Source organism: Homo sapiens, chromosome 14, assembly GCF_000001405.40.
Source record: "Homo sapiens chromosome 14, GRCh38.p14 Primary Assembly".
Classification (NCBI taxonomy): domain Eukaryota; kingdom Metazoa; phylum Chordata; class Mammalia; order Primates; family Hominidae; genus Homo; species Homo sapiens.
The window spans coordinates 51,542,278-51,563,631 of record NC_000014.9 but is presented as its reverse complement, the minus strand read 5'-3'; the positions used below and the strand labels follow the sequence as shown (position 1 = coordinate 51,563,631).

Genomic DNA, 21,354 nt, shown 5'->3' with positions numbered 1-21,354 from the left:
GTGGCATGATCTCAGCTCACTACAACCTCTGCCACCCAGGTTCAAGTGATTCTCATGCCTCAGCCTCCAGAGTAGCTGGGATTACAGGCACCCACCACCATGCCCAGTTAATTTTTGGATTTTTAGTAGAGATGGGGTTTTGCCATGTTGGCCAGGATGGTCTCGAACTCCTGACTTCAAGTGATCCACCCTCTTCAGCCTCCCAAAGTGCTGGGATTACAAGCATGAGCCACCACGCCCGGCCACAGTAGCTTTTTTCTACCATGGCTCTAGCTCTTGATGGCTATGCCTTATATGAATGAGGCAATTTGAAAACATTTAAATCTTATATAAAAATTCTCTGATACATTGAGAGATGGGGTCTTTCACTCTGCCCCTTGAATCTGGACTTGTAAGCGATAATTCTTTTACTATGGAAATGATGCTGTATGAGGCTAGGTCAGAAAAGACCATAAAGCTTCCTCCTGGTTCTCCTGGGATACTCACTCTGGGAGGAGCTAGTCACCGTGGAAGAAGTCTGGCTCTTCTGAGGCTGCCATGCTGGCGATGCTACACATCGGTCAGCAGCCTACTGTGCTCTCTGCCTACAGTCAACATCAACTGCCAGACATGGCAGAAAGAAACCTCAAAATCACTTCAGCCCTGAGTCATCAAATCACCCCCAGGTCATGAGTCTCCCTAGCTGAGGTCCCAGACGTTGTGCAAAGAGACAAACTATCCTTACTATGTCCCGTCTGAATTCTTGACCAGCAGAGAATTCTATATCCAAGAGTATCATAAATGTCTATTTTGTGCCACTAAGTTTTGGGGTGGTTTCCTGTGCAGCAATAGTAGCTGGAGCCATTAATAATTACTACCATGCAAATTGTGTTTCTTAATCAACCCATCATGTTTAATTTAATTCAGGTTATCAAGTCTTATGCAGGAAGAAAGCTGTACTGACTCAAATCTTCTTGGTAATATATTCTCCCAACCCATTATGATAACCTGTTTAGATATTTAGCCACTGTATAGAAATTGCCCTTGGGTTGGAGTGAGGGAATGCTCTTTGCCAAGAAATAAACTGGAGAAGCTTTATCTAGACTAACACTTCAGGGGGCTCATGCAGTCCCCACGCATGGTTGACTTCCCACTCGTACTCATTCTGAACTACTTTGGCATCAGAGTTTTTACAAAACTGTGTCTCCACAGTATATATACCTGGGCCAGCTTGAAGATCGCAGGGTGCCATGTGGCCTGAGCAATATGCATGCTATCTTCTGCTTCCTGATAAATGCTACCATGCATGACCTCCTAGATAGAGATTGTCAACCTGGGTAAGATCTAGATCTAATCTCCTGTGGCCTACTCCCATTAGTCCCTGGATGCAGGCAATCTTTGGTTGATACCTAAATTCTGATTAAGAAAGCAAGATATTTATTTTTGATCATAGAGCCTGCAGATGCAGGGATGGGCGGGATAGAAATGTGGGGGTGAAAGATGGAAATTTACTTTGCAGTGCTCTTCCTCAAATACTCATCGCTCAACTCGTCTTGGAGTTGAAGGAGCAATTGATGCCGGACTTGGGCCCTAAAAGGCAGATAAAAAAGCCACGGTGGGAATCTTTGATTCTGGCCAAATTCTACAGAATAGAAAAAGAAGCTGAATTGGCTAATTCTGGAAATGTAGTTTTAGAAAATGGTTTAACACCAGGATTGTTCTACAAGATCAGATTTTCTAGCAAAGATAAACTAAATATATATTTTTTTCATTTGGGATAACAATCAAAATGAATTTGTGATGATTTCTCCCCTTTTTCTTCTTAGTGAACTATGATACTGAAAAACTCAATTAAAATAGCCTGAAAGGATTATATGTATTATTTGGATGCCCTTGACCTTCTTTTTCACTGAATAAGGTTGACATATCCATTAACATGGAAATCTCTGCTGGGAAGTGAGTGCTCTTCAGCTCAAGACTATTTTTCTGAGCTCATCAGGTCAATGTCAGGTTGAAGTCATCAAAATAAATAAATAAATAAACAAAACACCCAAGCCTGTTGTCAAATTCAATATAATCTTTGCTTACAAGTCTATTGCTATTTGCCTACAACTCTGTTACTTAAATGCGTGATTCACAGCTTCAGCCTCTGTTGTCTAGAGAAGATACTTCCCCGGCTGCTCCCTGAGCACTGGTAGTTCACAATACATTCTTAGTGCTTAGCCACAGCAGGCTGCAGTACAAAGGAGGTCCCTTCCAATGCTGATGGGACATTCCAAATGGAATTGCTTGCCTTCATTCAATTCTATATTTTAGCCCTCAGTGATTAAAAATGCCTTCTTTGTTACAGGGTTAGGGTTAGAGGCCACAAGAGAAAGACCATATTGATAGTCTGAGAAATCAATGTTGTCATTGATATAAAGAAATCATGTGAGGCTGAATTCATCTGAATCCTGATTCATCCTTGAAAGGCAGCTGGTGTAACTGCCTCCTACAGAAAGACTTCATCTTAAGTTACCTAGATTCAAAGGGCAAATATTCTGTACCCACAATTTAGCTCTGTCTTCCCCAAACCAAGATGTTTTCAAGTGGGATGGCAAGTTACTAACTCATAGTCTTCTGACAGCAGGAAGAGGGGCTTAAGAATGTGGACCACATAGATGTCAATAATCCAACATTAATTTTATTCAATAAACTTTTTAAATAAAATGCAAACATCAGATTACTTTCTCCCTACTACCAAAACTTTTATTAAAGAGAGACCAAGAGTAATTTTGGAGTTTGGAGAAATTTGTGGGTGAACAGGTCATGGTAGGATGTAGGAAGGGCACCTTTGAGAGGACTCTGGGTAACTAAAAAAAGTGAGATCAGCCAGGTGCGGTGACTCACGCCTGTAATCCCAGCACTTTGGGAGTCTGAGGCAGGTGGATCACCTGAGGTCAGGAGTTTGAGACCAGACTGATCAACATGGTGAAACCCTGTCTCTACTAAAATACAAAAATTAGCCGGGTATGGTGGCACATGCCTGTAATCCCAGCTACTTGGGAGGCTGAGGCAAGAGAATCACTCGAACCCAGGAGGCAGAGATTGCAGTGAACTGAGATCATGGTATTGCACACCAGCCTGGGCAACAAGAGCGAAACTTGGTCTCAAAAAACAGACAAACAAAGTAGGATCAATGCAAAGGAGTGGGATGTCAACAGAGATCACCTGCCCACTTGGCTGTTATACCAAGCCTGTCTGTCTCCCATGCAGCTTCTGAAACACTGTTGCCGGCCTACATGAATATTACTATTACTACTCCATTCAGGGTGTAATTTGGTACATAAATATATGACACTGATATAAAACCTTTTATTTTACGAATTTTTCATCAGAGAAAATTTAAATAAGGATAAAACTTAATTCAATTCTGTGTTGGGTGATGTTTATTTCATTGTATTAGGTGAGACTCTGCCTTCTCACACCTCAATTGTGATACAGAAAACAAGAATGCAAAGTATAGATCAATATGGATTTATTCCATGTCCATAAATGTATTGCAGATTGCTAGTGTCTACTATTATAAGAGATACAACATGATTATAAAGTATAGTCCCAGGATAGAAAAGCTTCAAAATATAAAGACAAAAGACTAGCAGAAATGTCTTAAAAAGGAATGGACAGAAAATTAATAAATTAAGTTAGTATTTACAATGTAAAGACTCTAGGCACGCCTGGAAATGGCTTTATAAGTCATCCAGTTCTCTTTCTACCTATGAACATGACTGTGCTTATACTCACTTCTGAAAAACTTCCAGAAAAAGTGTTTCCACCACTTTGTATAACCCATCTATCAATCTTGCAGGCTCAGGGAAGGGGATAGGCATATTGCAGAAATTTTATGTTCAGGAAAAAATGATTACCTTATTTGTTCTTGATTAGGGAAAGATGGATGGTCATAAAATATTCAAAGGAAGGTTCTGAATTTGGAGGTCTGGAGAAGAGAAAAATTCAAGAAATAGTGGATAAGCAGAATGTATGAAACTGGAAAAGAAAGCATAGAGATAGGAGGAAGGGTTGGTGGAAGGGAATTGTGAAGAATGTCAGAGGAGTCATTCTAGCTTGGTGATGTAAACTCTCATATGCCTGAGAATTTATCACAAGGAAGGCTTGCTTAAAAAAAAAAAAAAAAAAAAAAGTAACGTGGAATATACCATCACCACCGGAGGATTCTGATTGGATTGACCAAGGGTAGGACCAAAGAATCTGCTTGTTAACGTGCACTCTGAGTGTTTCTGATGCAGCTGGTCTAAGGACCACACTTTGAGAAACACTGAAAACAATGATGGTTGAAGTCTTGCAGAAGAAGGCAAAAATTATGACCTTTAAATAGGGAGATGGATGGAATAAATAACATTTTCCAATTGAATTTACATTTACAGATCTTATTTCTTTTCTGAGTGAGAGTTAGTATATTCTCTAGAATCAGAGAATAGGTACCAAATCAAATGAAGGCCTATTTGCCGGGGTATGTTGATATGCAACTTTCTCTCACCTAGCAACTTCATTTATCTAGGACAGTTAAACTAAGAAATGTGGCAACAAAATGTTTCAGTGTGGATAAAATGGACTGAAACCAATCCACACACTGTACTCATAAAGTAGCTCCTCAAGGCCTTGCTTAGAGCTTACTTTTTGTTTAGAAATGTCTAAAAGCAAAGCTATAGGGTTTCCTAACTCATAGCAGTTAAGTCATAAAATTTGGCAAAGAGTGGTACAATCAGGGAACAAGGGTGGGGCTGATGCTGGAGGTACAGACACCAGTGATAGCAAGAAATGACAGGTGGCATCCTGACAGTGAAGAATATGAAAAGCAGACAAAAAAACTCCTTTAGAGGAGGGCAAATTTTCTCAAATAGTTAAAACACCTAAGGGCTACTATGTTACCACATGTTATATAGTAACTGATATTCATAAGGGTGGTCTCTAAGTAAAAAGAAAAAAGATTAAATTATATTTAGTAGATTTTATTGGGAAAGGCATGTAATTATATAATTATACTATATTATGACATTTTTGGAGACTTCTCATTTAAAATGGCTAAAATTTTTAGCTCCTAAGAGAGTTGGCTTTTGTTTTCCATATTATATACTCAGTTATTCATTTGCTCATTTAGTTTTGTTTTTTGTTTTTTGTTTTTTTTTTGAGACAGTCTTGCTCTGCCGCCTGGGCTGGAGTGCAGTGGTGCAATCTCGGCTCACTGCAACCTCCACCTCCCAGGTTCAAGTGATTCTCCTGCCTCAGCCTCCTGAGTAGCTAGGATTACAGGCTTGCACCACCATGCCTGGCTAATTTTTGTATTTTTAGTAGAGACAGGGTTTCGCCATGTTGGCCAGGCTGGTCTCAAACTCCTGACCTCAGGTGATCTGCCACCTTAGCCTTCCAAAGTGCTAGGATTACAGGTGTGAGCCATCGTGCCCGGCCTCATTTAATTTTTAAAAAGGTATTTATTAAAAAATGAAAATTGTATATATTAATGGTTTACAACATTTTTTTAAGGAATTCAATAATTTATTGAGAATAAAAGACAACTATACAATTGTAAACAAATTATTAACAAAAAATCATCTTTGTATCTTTCGGTATCTTCATGAAAACTTCAAATAATAATCATACTTTCCTTACCAATTGTCTTTTTTTTTTAACTTTTATTTTAGTTCAGGGGTACACACATGCAGGTTTGTTATATAGGTAAGTTGTGTGTCACAGGGGTTTGGTGTACAAATTATTTTGTCACCTAGGTAGTAAGCCTAGTACCCAAAAGGTAGTTTTTCCAACCTCACCCTCCTCCCTCTCTCGACCTTCAAGTAGGTCCCGGTGTCTGTTGTTCCCTTCTTTGTGTCCCAACATGGTATTTTGATATACGAATACACTGGGGAATGGCTAAATCAAACTAATTAATATATCTATTACCTCACATATTTATTTTGTTTTGTGATGAGAACATTTAAAATCTATTCTCTTAGCAATTTTCAAGTATACAATACATTGTTACTAATTCTAGTAACCGTGTTGTACAGATGTCCTGAATTTATGTTTCCTGTCTAACTGAAATTGTGTATCATTTGAAGAACATTTTCCAACCCCTCTCCCTGGCTCCCCCTACCATCACCCTGCCCTAGCCTTGCCCTAGCCCCTGATAACCACTATCCCACTAGTTGAGTTTGACTGTTTTAGATTCTACAAAGAGGTGAGATCATGCTGTATTTGGCTTTCTGTGCCTGGCTTATACCACTTAGCATAATGTCTTCCAGGTTCATCCATGTCATTGAAAGTGACAGGATTTCCTTCTTCTCTTTAAAGGCTGAATAATATTCCTATGTATGTATGTATGTATGTGTGTATATATATATATATATATATATGTCACATTTTCTCATCCATTGATGGACACCTAGGTTGATTACATATCTTGGCTATTGTGGATAATGCTTCATTTGCTCATTTCCTTCCTTCCTTCTTTCCTTTCTTCCTTCTTCTTTTCCTCTTTTCAGACAGGGTCTCACTATGTTGCCCAGGCTAAACTCACATTCTAGGGCTCAAGCAATCCTCCCCGCTCAGCCTCAGAATAGCTGGGATTATAGGCACATACCACCATGCCCAGTTTATTACTTTCTTATAGCCTGCAAAGCATCGTGATAAGTGTCAGGAAAAAATAATATGGTTCCTCAAAAAGTAAAATTTGTGAGTCTGGAAAAGCAGGCATCTTGGGTTTAGAATAAAGGTCAGAGATTTAGATCTGGATTTGGAAGCCACTTGAATAAAGTTTTGGTTGAAGCTATGGATTATGGTGGAAGGGGTAGAGAAGGAGACAGGGGCAGCTCGGGAAAGAACTAGGTGGTGAGCTCACTCTTCAATGATGGATAAGGCTAATATTACTATATTGCAGATAGGATGTACATTAATCCTCCTAAAAACTAGAATGGACTACGAATTGGAAAGTTTAGACATAATAACGGACTAAATCTCCTTTGGAACAGAAACTTTGCCTAAGGCCAATACCCCTGTCGCCTCCCTCCCCACCACCAGGGACTCCATCTAAATGCATAATTAGATAAAAAGGAAGAGTTGCTGAGGAAGACAAACTTGACTGAGCCTCAGTCTTGTAAAGCAATTAAGTAAATGTCACCACAGAGCGGATTTTAGCACTTAAGGTTTGACTCTGATGATTAAGGCTCTCACCTACTCACAATGTGAAATTCTACAAAGTAAACTGGGGCTATGAAATGTTTTGACACTTGTTAAGAAGAAATACCTTCTAATTATTCAGTGATTGATATGAAAAATGAATACAGTGCATTCAAATATGTAATTTATAGTACATTAAAATACAGAAATCTGAGAGAACAAAAGTGTCTGATTTTACCATTGATGTCTGTGGGTAGAAAGGAAGCAGTAATCAAGATGGCACATTCTGACTATTCTGTGATTCCAGTCTAAGCCTTCAGTTAAGTCCTAGGAACAGCAGAGGTGTACCTTGTTTAACTAATTCACCAAAATGTGTTGATGCAAGGCCCTTTGGCAGTTGCATGGGAAACACAAAGGCCATCAATACTTAGCCCTAGTTTTGAAGGAGATTATGAGTAGCTGAGGTAGGTACAAATGACTACCTCAGAAGGCAAAAGGTGATTATAAAGTGCCTCTGCATATCTCTTGTTCCAACTTTTGAACAAATCATCCAAAGAATTTGGACCTTACATAGGAAGTAAGCAGTACCCAACATGTAATTAACAGCAACTTCAACAGTAGTATTTTTTTCTTTAACGTATCACTACTACTTATCAGATAACTTTTTTTTTTTTTTTTTTGAGTCAGAATTTTGCTCTTGTTGCCCAGGCTGGAGTGCAATGGCACAATCTCTGCTCACCGCAATCTCTGCCTCCCAAGTTCAAGCGATTCTCCTGCCTCAGCCTCCCGAGTAGCTGGGATTACAGACATATGCCACCATGCTCAGCTAATTTTGTGTTTTTAGTAGAGACAAATTTTCTCCATGTTGGTCAGGCTGGTCTCAAACTCCCAAACTCAGGTGATCTGCTCGACTCAGCCTCCCAAAGTGCCGGGATTACAGGCGTAAGCTACCAAGCCTGACCTATGGGGTGCCTTTTTAACCAGGAGCAGACTACATCAGTATGTAATTAAAGCTACAACCTTATAAGTGCTTCCAATTAATTGTCTCCAAAAGCAATTTCTACATAGCCCAATTGTGAAAATCAAAGGTACCTGGCTGAAATATTTCCTGGGACACAGTAGGCAAATTTGTTTTAAATTTGGTACAGACAAACTGAGTTGTATATTTACAATGTGAACTAACTGCTATCACTTGAAACTTAAATTTATCACATTATTTAGACAGACATAATTAGTAGAACTCTTCTTTGGAGGTTGAATGCTCCCGGTGATAGTCATGTATGCATCTAGAAAGCCCAGGAAGTAGACTTCTGCCAGATGACAGCCATCTGGTGGCCCTTTGGTAAAATGATGCCTGTTTTTACATCACTGCCCTTTTAACCAAGAAAGCTACTTGAGACATCTTGAATTGGAGGAAGGGTCCACAATGCATCGAGTAAGTATTTCCTAGTGCAGGCCAGGATGGCTCTTTTAAAAACCAACTTTATGTCTCAGAACAGTTTAGATTTACAGAAAAATTGTGAAAATAGCACAGAGTTCCCATGTACCATGTGCCCAGGTTCTCCTATTATTAACATCTTACATTTTGCGGTATACTTATTAGCACTAAAGAAACAAAATTGATGCAGTGTCAATAACTACAGTCCATACTTTTGTTCCCATTTCTTTAGTTCTCACCTAAGGTCCTCTTTCTGTCTCGGATTCCATTTTGGATGCGAATGGAAATTGGATGTGTCCTTAGACTCCTCGTGGCCGTGGCAGTTTATCAGGCTTTCCTTGCTTTCAGTGACCTGAACAGTCAATTTCGGGAGTACCAGTCGGATATTTTGTAGAATGTCCCTTTATTGGGATTTGTCTGATGTTTTTCTCATGACTAGACTGTGGTCATGGATTCTGGGGAGAAAGTCACAGATTCCACAGATGCCATTTTCATCACATCATATCAAGGATAACATAGCATCAACATGACTTGTCACTGTGCTGGTGATCTTGAGCACCCGGTTGAGGTACTGTTTGTAAGGTTTCCCCACTGTAAAGTTACTCTTTTGCTTCTTCCCAGACTATACTCTTTGGAAGGAAGTTACTATACACAGCCTCAATTAAGGAATTGGGAGTTACATTCCATCTCCTTGAGGCCAGAGTATCTCCACAAAATATGGAATTTTTCTGCTTGGGAGATTTGTCTCTTTTATACTATTTATTTATTCAATCATTTATTTATAACATGGACTCATGGATATTTATTTTGTATTTTGAGATATAATCCAAATGCTTATTTATTTATTTTATTTGTCAAATTGTTCCAGCTTTGGCCATTGGGAGCTCTTTCAGTTGGCTCCTGTGTTCCTTTGAATATAGTCTCATCATTGTAAGTTTTGGCCTTTGTTTTGTTTTAGAACTTGCTTATTTTCTGGCTCTACAGGGTGCCCTAGGTTCATCTTGTATATTTTTTTGCTCCAGCCCTAGAATCATTCGTGTCTCCAAGAATCCCTGGTTCTTTTTATTGGATAATGGCCTTGGAAATCAACACCTGGGCACCAAGTATGCTTGCTGCTAATAAGATATTAGGGTGCTATTTTGATGTTCAAGTACAAGTTTGTTCTCATCTTCCTAGAGATTTTCACAGACCCATTTCTCTTTTCCTACTAAATTCACAGCCTGCCCCTCATCCGCTCGGTAAACTCCACCGTCTTCTCTTAGCTATTCATTATCTGCAACTCCTTCAGGACCAAAGCAGCGTTAGAAAAAGCCACCAGAAAAATGAACTCCTTCAGGAACTTGTGTCTCTTAGAACTGATCAGTAGGTATCCCTAGAGAAAATCTGATCCCTTTCCTACCTCTAGGCAGGTGTTTCAGTTCTGATGCACCTTTTAGCTCCTTTTAGCTGCACAATCAGGTATCTACCCTTTAAGAAAGAGGACCCTTTCTTAATAACCAGAAACTCAGCTCAAAATAAATAATAAGGAAATAAAACAATAAGCAAGTATTCTTATAAATGCTCAATAATAAATATGACTAACTACCCATTTCCCTCATAAAGCATTTTAAATGTAAAAGAAAATGTTCTGAATTTCTTTCCTCTGTTGATCAGGCAGCACAGAATCTGCTGCTTGTGTTTTGATGTACTCTGATCTGGGAACCTGTCTGATTAAAGCTATGTTCCCATCCTGCAGAGTTAAGGGCATTCATTGGAAATAATGTATTTTAATGACCAATGAGCAGATGCTATTATCCTGAAATCACATTTCCCATCACTTGGCTGGGATTTGTCTCTTTTTGACATTTGCGTCCTTTTTAAGATTCAGTAGAGACTTTTAACTCCAACAGAGCTCCAAGAGGAGGTAAATGTGAGGGTTTTAATAATTCAACCTTGGAGATCTCTCTAGAAATCAGGACTTATTCACAATGTATTAAGATCTCTTTCTGATCTGCTTGCCAATTCACTGTGCCAGGTCACAGGTATTGGCAGTCTCCCCTATTTGAACTGACATTACCTACTGGAATCACCTGGCAGACTGCCAGCTTGGGACTTCTTGCATCCACTTACGACTTCCTGCAGGAGCCACTGAGAACCTAGATCTGGCTCATGAGAGCAACGTGTCGCACCCTTGAGGAAGGCAGACCCAGCCAGTCTTCTGAAGCAGTCTTCCACCTGGCATTTGAGTAACTGGGGTCTTTTAGGCAATTTAAACAGTTCCTCAGCTTAACCCAGAGGCTCATTGTTCTCAGGTGGATTTTGTTTTGCTTGCATAGTTTCATATTTTAAATTAAATGAGCTGCCATTATTTCAGAATCAAGAATTTCACATAATTTTTCAAGTTTTTTACTTCTCCTGAAGAAAGAAAACAAGCTGGTGCCATTGGACCCCACCTTGCCACATGAAAGTTCAGTAGTGGCTGCCTTTTGGAAACTAGCACTGGGTGAACGCTGACTCTCCGTCATGCATCGCACTCCAGTTTTGCAGAGTGACTGCAGTGGGTTCCCATCTGCGCCACTTAACCTGTGAAATCATTGCCAGCCCCTAGGGGCATCAGGGTTTGTGCCTACTGGCAGGGAATTCAAAGGCTACTCGTCCCTCTTGTAACTGTTTGTCCAATCCCTAAAAACATTGCACTTAAAGCCCTCAAATTTTAAAGGAAAGATAGTTTTCAGATTTGCAGGCTTAAATTAGTCCAAATAGGATTCAACGCTAAATCACTGTGCGGTTCTAAAATGAAAAGTTATGACAGACAGGTTCACCAACAGATGTTAGTAAAGATCTATCTTAATCTCCCTTTAAATGAGGCTTTTTTTCCATGTGAACTTTTCATAACAATTTATCAACAGATTTACCCCATTTAAAAGAAAATCCAACATTGAAAGCTCAAAATTTACACAAAAATTACATTAGGATATGTTTTCTCATTTATTCTCAAAATATTTATTCATTGTACACTACTATAGGCTAGGCAATGTTCTAGGCATTGATTTGTTTAAACAATAATTTATATTCAGTAGCACAAGGGATAATCAGGTGGAAAAAATATAAGCCATAAAACTCTAAGAACATTAAGACTGTGTGTGTGTTTCTGAAAACATGGAATAGTTAGAGGCCAATGGATCAAATACATACCTATATACTAAAAATATTTTAACATATACTTATATAATAGATGTTAATGCATTTTATATTATATGCATTTATTTGTATATTTGTATAAAATGTATTACATATATTATATATTCATTTATATAAAGTTTTTTTTTCTAAAGAGGTCTCATTTTGTCACCCAGGCTGGAGTGCAGTGGCCTGATCTCTGCTCACTGCAGCCTTGACCTCCTGGGCTCAAGCCATCCTTCCACCTCAGCCCCCCAAGTAGCTGGGACTACAAGCACAAACCATCAGGCCTGGATAAATTTTTCGTATTTTTTGTAAAGACAGGGTTTCACTGTGTTGCTCAGGCTGGTCTTGAACTCCTGAGCTCAAGCAATCTGACCACCTTGGTCTCCCGAAGTGCTAAGATTACAGGCCTGAGCCACTGTGCTGGGTCATATATAAAAATTAAAAGGCTATCCACCAAGGTGACAAATAATTGTTCTCTGTGTATAATAGGATTACAACTGAACTTTTTCTTCCTTTTTACTATCTATATTTAAGTCAATTTTTCTTCTACGATGAACCTATATACTTTATTTTTAAAGAAATAATTTATAAAATTTGTATTTGTGTCAAAAATGCCAAAAGTACTGGAATTTGAAGAGGAAGTGCCCCAAGAATAAACCTTCTGGATTCCGGTGTTTTCAAGTCAGTTTCCAGTGGCAAATAGCACAAGTTTTTTTACTTAGTAGTGGGAGATCCTGGATCTTGAAACATGTGCTGGGTAAATGGAGGATCTAGTGGGTGGTCAGGGATGGACAGAAACTACTGGATGGAAGAAAGTCCACTTGGCAGATAGACCATGATTTCTGACCATGGCATCAAGGGACAAGTGAAGGTCATCCAATAGAACACTTTAAGAAGATCCAACACAGAGAAACAGGGAGTGCCAAACAGTGTGGGTGGTACCCGGGACCAGCAAACGGGGAGGGAATCAAAAGCATTCATTATGCACGTTTTATGTGACAAGTGCTAAAGTATGTGATATTTTTATGCATCATAATGAGGAAACAGGCTCAGAGAGGCAAGGGAAACTAGCAAATGGTGAATGCTGACTCCCTGTCACGCACTGTACAATGTATTTCACAGACATGATGAAAATTGCCAAGATCACACAAGTAGTGAGTAGGAGAGTTACAGTTCAAATCAAGGTTTTCTGATTTCATGGCCAATGCTTCTTCCACTCACTATCCCGCCCTTCCTCTGCCTCTGCACCATGAAACATCATCTCAGGAATCCATTCAAGCTATAAGCATGGCGGGGGGGTCTCCTCCCAAGCTGCCCTCTGATGAGGCTGGCACTGGCAAGGCCTCTCAAGGAGAAGAGCTTCCTGAGGACCCCACAGACACACAGGCACAAATGCCATCTTCATCTAGTGTCAGAGAAGCAGACACAGCCCAATATTTATACAATTTTTGGCTGGCTCTAATTTCCAACAATTCATTGAATGCAATAAAATGAGCCAATGATAAAAAGACATTTGGGAGGCTGAGGTGGGAGAATCACTTGAGCCCAGGGAGGCCAAGGCTGCAGTGAGCCATGATTGCACCCCAGTACTCCAGCCTGGACAACAGAACCAGTAATTGTTTAAACAAAAAATTAAAAAAATAAAAAGACATCATTCCTATTTCCAAAAGAAATGGTGGATTTAGGGATGAGAAAAGAGGACACAGATTGTTACTCCCTGGAGTGAATTTCTTCATGTTGTCATAAGCTCTCAGCATTAGCCAATGTGGCATGAGCAGCATTACCGGGATCTTAGAAAGAAAGGGATCCCCATTATTTGCAGAAGTATCATTAAGGCTATACAACTGTGGCACCAAAGGACAGGCACTATTTAAAAATATGCAAAAATTAAAAAGCCATTGGTTTAGGTTAGCGGACATGTGCTGGGGGCAGGGGAGTCAATGTTGCAGGCAGAGTCCTGCCTTTAAAAGGTTTATACTCCAGCTGGCCGGGCGCGGTGGCCCACGCCTGTAATCCCAGCACTTTGGGAGGCCGAGGCGGGCGGATCACGAGGTCAGGAGATCGAGATCATCCTGGCTAACACGGTGAAACCCCGTCTCTACTAAAAATACAAAAAACTAGCCGGGCGAGGCGGCGGGCGCCTGTAGTCCCAGCTACTCGGGAGGCTGAGGCAGGAGAATGGCGTGAACCTGGGGGGCGGAGCCTGCAGTGAGCTGAGAGTGCGCCACTGCACTCCAGCCCGGGCGACAGCGAGACTCTGTCTCAAAAAAAAAAAAAAAAAAAAGAAAGAAAAAAAAAGTTTATACTCCAGCTGTGGAAATAGGGCCTAGCTAGAAAAAAGGAACATAGCAATAGAGGGCACTAATGCAGCAGCAGATGAGTTCGGGGAAGGGAAGGTATTCTTCTCTGCTGGAATAACACCCTTCCACAAACCAAACCTCGCTCCACAGGCTGTTGGAGGCCTACAACTGTCCAATTTTCAAAATAAGACTTTGTTAGCCTGCCATGTAATCTACTGTGATTGTGATATTAAGCTAGCCTATACTATGGAATAACACAAAAAATCTGCTTGTAATTGATTTTTTAAAAATATTCACTTCATCTTTCGTTTTTTCAGGGGTTTACCACGCTTTTCATCCACTCATTCATCCATCCATCCCTCCATCCATCTATCCATCCATTCACCTATCCATTCATCCACCTTAACATTTCATACACTGAGCTAGGTGCTGGGAATCCAAAGACCAGAGAGGCATGGCTGCTGCCCTCACAGCCTGGTCTCCCAGGGAACAGCATTGCACCTGCTTCTTTCTGGGACTTTCTGGCAATCATAACTGGAATATAAATGCCTTCTAGACAGAATGATAAGCTCTCTAAGTAAATCAAATATTCTAACCATGGATTACATCAATGGTTCTCAAATGTTGATAAGAATGCCAATCGCCTTGGTCCAGGTTAAAATGCAGATTCTGATTCAGGTCTGGAGTGGCCAAGATTTTCCATCTCTAATTAGCTCCCAGGTGATGCTGACGTTGCTGGTCCCAGGACCACACTTAGAAGGGCAAGGTTTTACAGTACATCAGTAAGTATGGACTTCTGAACACCAGAAAGAGTTATTCCTCTTAAATTCCAGGGTAAATATACCATCACTAAATTCACTCTTCTTTTTCTGCTTTAGAGAAACAGTTTCACAGAAGTGCTTCAGCCTTTAACTTATCTCCCCGTTTCCCCCACATTTCCCCTTCCAAAAAATTGAGAGTTTAGTCCAATTATTTTTCTATTTCACAGACTTTCTTCAATTTTCTTTCAAGAAAGACAAAATATTGCTTCAGAAATCCACGGAGAATTAAACATACTTCAGAACAAGAAGAAGGGATCCAGAGCTAATTACCCTAAGCCAGCCAGGTTGTGTTAGGAATCCATCATGATCATGTTTACTGCATGCTGCAGACCCGCAAAGCCACCTGCAATTAATTCTGATGGCTACAAGCCACAGGGTACCTAACAGCTTGTGGGCGATTAAGAATAAATCACTAAACTTTCATTTTAAAGGTCCCAGGAAGAAAGTGGGGACAAATGCCAGATATGTTTACATTACTCATAGAACTTAGCGAGAATGAACATTCTCATTTATTTTCTGGCAATGCCTCTTTTAAATTTTTCTATATTTTAGAAAATTATGCTGCCTGTCCTTTGGTGCCACAGTTGTTTAGCCTTAGTGATACTTCCACAAATAACGCAGATCCCTTTCCAAGATCCCACTAATGTCTGAGTATCATTTTTTCATAGGAGAAAATAAATTGGTAATTATTCCCACTGCTTGATGCGGGCACACATTGTATTTCTTAGTAAAAGCTGATTTCACATCCATCACCTCATTAACATTTCTGTATATTTCAAAATGAATGTTATATGATACTGTTTATAAACTCTGGGTTGGTACAGTTTCTAGTTCAATTACAAAAGACCCAAGATAGTTTTTTTTTTTTTTTTCAGGGCCACACAGGGTGCCAACATCCAATCTCAAGATCTTCGGGAAATATGCTCACCCTCCAAAATACTTACAGATGTGTCTCCTCTTTTTTGTAAAATAAATGCTCTTCTTATATTTGGTGTTTCCTTGGTATGGCCACAAGATTATTTAGTATGACATATTTAATGGTGAAGATAAAGGTGAGCATCACAATGTTTTAAACAAATCACATTTGGGTGGGATATTATAAGAAAGAAAGTTCCCAGGGGATAGAAAAATGGTTTCCTTAAATCACTCCATACTCAATAAGCGTCGTAGGGCTCTCAATATACATCACCAGACCAGGAGATGCATTTGGCTAAGGCATACCAGACTAGGATATGAATCACAGAACACTATTCCAAGACTATTACAGAATCCACATACAATATAAACCAGAAAAGGCTGCATTTTAACCTCTGTGACTCATGCATTACAGCCTGTGACTCCATGAGGAGGGTTAGGAATCAGGCTGACATCCAGCTCAGGCCAAACAAACTTACAGCCAAGAGAAACAGAAGCATCACCTTCCCAGCAGAGAGCAAGATGTACAGAGCTTGATACTTTACACTCGTTAGAATTATGTAACTTGTCAATGGTTGAGACTCTAGGGTAGAGGGTTTTGTGCTTTTTATTTTTTCTGGTATAAATATTTAAACTTCTCCATAACATTAGAGTTAGAACTTACTTTCCTGAAATGAAATTCTAAAACAAATTTGACAGCAAAACACTGTGGAATTTTTAAATGCCAACAGGTTTGTGTCCATTACAGAACACACAGAGTTTTGACCTCTCACTTTTCCTGGTGCTACTGCTTTCAAAATTTCTAAGGTCATTGTACCATGGGGCTCTAATTCTTGGTTAAGGAAGGCACCGAGATCATACCAGGAATATTCTCCTATTAGCTGAAACTTGAACTTTGCCTGGCAGGAGGTGTTATAAATTATTTTTTGGCTAGCATTTGCTTTTTAAAACACTCTTTTACCCGGGTTTCTCAAATTAGTTCCTGTAGTGATACTATCTCTATTTTTGCCTCTTTATGACTAGGGTCTTTAATGGCTTCAGAAGTGCCCTGGGCTGAAACTTGATCTGAGAAGGTTATTATCAGAACTGTGTTCCAAGAGAAAGCAGTGTGCTAGCTCTACATGTATACATGAGTTGCCATCAACATGAATTCAATTACAATGAAGATAATTTGGAGTAGACAATTGTATTTTGGTTGCATGACATCCATTTTATCTTAGTGTAATAACACCACAGGTTTTTTTTTTTTTTTTTTTTTTTGATGGGGAGGGGGAACAAATTACCTTTACCCTGTTAGATATACTCTTACAGTTTTTTTTTTTAAATAAATTACCTTTACCCCATTAGATATTCTCCCAAACTGGCATCAGATGTGTGGCCAAAGCCAGATCAATCAAAATAAACTTCAGGAATTTTACAGGAACTATTTAAAAAAAGAAAAAAAAAAGAGTTTCTCTTTCCTGAGAGACATGATTTTGGGAAGAGCATTCCACTTTAAAGGCAGAGTTTGGAGCTGCTGAGGCTGCCACGTGGAGACTGGAAATAGCAATAATCTAATAGAAGCCAGAGAAACCGAGCACTCATGGCCTAATGTGATCCTGCATCAAGGTGTGTTCAAACACAGACCTATCCTTTGATTTTTACCTTTGAGATTTACAAGAACCAATAATTCCCTTTTTGGCCTAAGATAATGTGTGTCAGGAATTCTATGATTTATCACTGAAATACAGACTTGTCATATTTTTCTACAATTGTTCAAAATTATTATTTTATCATTTTCTATTTATAATGGAATTTCGATGAGCTGTTTTAAGGAAGACAAAAATAGAGTGAATATTTTAAATTTAGATATAATCCCATTTTCATTTTTTTCAACTTTAATTCTTTCTCTCTCAGCAAATATTTTGTCAAGATCACAATGCTATAATAATAAGCACTACCATGGATTGATTAGGATTTCACTGCTTTTTTTTCCTATGCCCGAACATATTCCCTTGTATGCTGCTAGTAAAATTGTCAAATAGGGACAAAAGCAAACAAACATAGGACATAGATGATTTATCAATTTGATAAACAGTTGAGAGTTGGCTGCATTTATTTTCAATGGCAAATAATAATAACAATAATGGTAGCTAGCATTTACTGAATGCTTTGTCTATGGGGAGCTCTATGAAAAGCGCTTTACATAAACTAACTCATTTTATCCTTAAACTTACCCGGGAGGCAGTGGTGTGCTGGTAAAATGGCTCTGGGGGATGAGAGGGAAGCCAGATTGACAGTTGACTCATTTTTGTGGTGTAAATACTCCCACCCTGGCTGATTTCAAGCAACTGACAGTTTAAATACTAGTTTGCAAAATTCTTGCATATTTAACATCAGCTCTTTGGATCAGGTAAAATAGACTCCAGTCCACCACTGCAGGAAACTAAATCGGAAGACAGATCATGCAGCTTCCTTAACTCTAGCAGTTTGTAAACCCGTTTGTACTACTCCAGAGCACACCTCTGGAGTACAGAGTGGAGTGTCAACCTCTGTACTCCTTTCTAATCATGGGGCAGATTTTTGCTGTGTTTAAAAAGAGTGCTTCAATGTTCTGTATTTTATGGGTGAACAGCAAAAGTTGATATTAAATATGATGCTTGTATCATGTCTTCGGTTAACAGACACCAAGCTATTCTACTACAGAATGTTTTGAAGATAACTGTGTCTAGTGCATGTCTGGGCACGTTAACAAAAATTAAAGAATGATAAAAAGGATGGGGCATCAATTATGAGTGATCTCTTGGAATGTTTCAGCCCCAAACCCTTCCTAATTCATGTGTTGCCATGTTTCTTAATCTTACTATTAATACAACCCTTTCCAAATGGTTCGGGAAATTTATAGGTGGGTTTTGAGCCCATGGAAAATACTGAGTTGTAATTATGGATTTAAAATCCTTATACACGTGTGTGTAGTGTGTGTGTGTATAAATGCCAAATATTCCCATACTACAGAAGATTAAGTAAATTATAACTGATGAGATGTTACACTAATTTCCTTTCATCCTTATGCAGGCTTGACTACAAAGTCTCTCTTGGCTCGCAAGTAGAGGATTTTGCATATATTGTTTATTATTTCATTCCAAGCCCAAAAGCCGCAACAAAGTAAAATTGATTAAAAAAAAAACTGTAAACAGTAGATAATAGACGTCTTTGCACAGCAGAACTCTCAGAGTTCACTAGATAATAGACATGAAAGCACTTTGGAGAATTCAAGGCATGACACAAACGTGAGGAATTATTATTGAGTAAAAAAAAATCTCAAAGGAAAATTCCTCAACAGCTCAACTTATACATATTGTTTTCAAACTATGAGTATATAACAAAGTAGAAACTTCCCTATTATACACATGTAATAAAAGAGCTAATAACTGATGTGGCTCTGAGAACTGTATATTTTGTATGTATTTGAAGAAGAACGATTTTAGTTTTTAAGAAACTCAATCACTCCTGCATCCCTTACCAAAGGTATTAAGGAAAAAAATTCTCCATAAGAAATAATACAGAATTTTATATGTGAATATTTACATAAATCCTTAAGTTTTAAAAACCTCATTCCATTAATAAAGTATTATTAACTTTATTTAGGTAGGATAATATTATTGAGATATTTTTTAAGCGTTCTTATCTGTTGGAGTTACATAAAAATCTTCACAGATGAAATAATATAATGTCTGAGATTTGCTTCAAAATACCTGGGAAGGGGGCTATGGGGGACAATCAGTGAAATGAGACTGGGCATGTTTTTGATAACTGTTGAAGCTGTGCTGATGGTACATGAAAGAATTTTTTATATGTTTGAAACTTTCCCCAATAAGAGTTCAAGAAACCTACGTCACAGCAATATCTAAAACATTTTAGAACAATTCTAAGGGCTGAACAAGAGTATGGTGCGAATTCATTTCCAAAGTACCCATTCTTACTGACTTCACTGCCTGATTTTGGTCTATTCTAGTTCGGTCCACGCTTACATTGCTGCCAGAATTACATTTCAAAAAAATTAAATGAGTTCATGGAACTCCCTTGCCCAAAATAATTCTTTTGAGTTCCCATCACCAAAAGAATACAGTTCGCAATTCTTTCTTTTGTGATCTCACAGCACTTTAGTCTCATTCTCCTATAGAAATCTCCTGTGTAGTATAATCTTTTCAGCATCTATGTTCTTGTGTCCTGCAAGATGGTGAAAACCATGAGTACAGAGATCAGGTCTTTTTATCTTCCTATCTTTGGTGCTTGGCATATTATCAAGCATGTGGTAGATGCTCAATAAATTTTTGATGAGCAAAGTAAATGTGAAATGCAAACAGATTATATAAAAGTAAATGCTTAGACCAATGAAACTATAACAGGTAAGTCATGATAGCTAAACAATTTCTACTTAGCAGTTTTGTTTTTTATTTTTCTTTAACCCTTCTAAATAAGGCATGAAATTTATTTATAATCAAAATTAAAGGGAAATACTTATGCTAATAAAAAGTATCTTTTAATTGAAAAAGACACAGGTAAATGAATGGGCATAATTTTTGATACTCTTACATATATACACCTAAAGCAAATCTAGCTATCAGAAATATACTATCCTCAACAGATAGGATCTTGGTAATACTGTCAGTGCAAGATTAGTTGTTTTACTGCTATAATCATGGTCATAAAAATCATAATCAACTTGGGTGCCTTTCTGCAAGCAATAAAAAACAGATAAATTAGACTTTGTCAAAAGTAAAAACTTTTGTTCATCAAAGGATACTATCAACAGAGTGAAAAGACAATTCATAGAATGGGAGAAAATATTTGCAAATTATATAAAGAACTCCTATATCCCAACAACAAAAAGTCAAACAATGCAGTTAAAAAATGTGCACAGGGCCTGGATAGAATTTTCTCCAAAGAAGATATACAAATGGCTGAGAAGTATATGGAAAGATGCTCAATGTCACTAGTCATTAGGAAAATGCAGGTTAAAACTATAGTCATATACGACTTCACACTCACTCAGAATGGCTATAATTTTAAACATGGAGTATAATAAGTGTTGGTGAGGACACGAAGAAATTGGAACCACATTGCTGCTGGTGGAAACGTAAAGTGGTACAACCACTGTATACAACAGTTTGGCATTTCTTTAATAAGGTAAACATAGAATTACCATGTTACCCAGCAATTCTAGGTATATACTCATGAAAAACAAGTGTTAAAACAGAAACTTGTACACAAATGTTCATAGAAGCACTATTCACAATAGACAAAAGAAAGAAACACCCAAATGTCTATTGCCAAATTACTGAATAAGGAAAATGTGGCATATCATACTATGGAATATTATTCAGCCATAAAAAGGAAGAAAGCACTGGATTATGATACAAATGGATGAATCTTGAAAACATTATGATAAGTGAAAGAAGCCAGACACACAAGGCCACACATTATATGATTCTATTTATAGAAAATATCCAGAATGAGCAAATCCATGGATACTGAAAGCAGATTGGTAGTTGTCAGACTGCGGGTAGGAGAGAATGAGGAGTGA

The 21,354-nt window shown here is 38.4% G+C and overlaps 1 protein-coding gene and 1 long non-coding RNA gene across 16 annotated transcripts in view; one reads left to right on the top strand and one right to left on the bottom strand.

The window, feature by feature from the left end:
- Window positions 1-21,354, bottom strand: part of FRMD6 (FERM domain containing 6) — a 334,297-nt gene that overhangs the window by 167,096 nt on the left and 145,847 nt on the right. For 4 of the 14 annotated variants that reach the window (XM_047430933.1, XM_047430920.1, XM_047430929.1 and 1 more), the window contains one exon: window positions 8,827-9,042. The exons of 8 other annotated variants lie outside the window; for them this stretch is intronic. The gene's annotated coding sequence lies outside the window, so the exon portion shown is untranslated. Of the gene's footprint in view, window positions 1-3,884; window positions 4,137-8,826; window positions 9,043-21,354 lie in introns of those variants that run through there. 2 more of the 14 variants (XM_047430927.1, XM_047430934.1) reach the window with 1 other exon arrangement.
- The window catches only part of FRMD6-AS2 (FRMD6 antisense RNA 2), a 145,441-nt gene that overhangs the window by 36,321 nt on the left and 87,766 nt on the right, over window positions 1-21,354 (top strand). The window contains exons 3-4 of one of the 2 annotated variants that reach the window (NR_047477.2): window positions 15,749-15,925; window positions 16,812-17,003. The exons of the other annotated variant lie outside the window; for it this stretch is intronic. This is a non-coding gene — a long non-coding RNA (FRMD6 antisense RNA 2). Of the gene's footprint in view, window positions 1-15,748; window positions 15,926-16,811; window positions 17,004-21,354 lie in introns of those variants that run through there. 2 annotated transcript variants of the gene reach the window in all.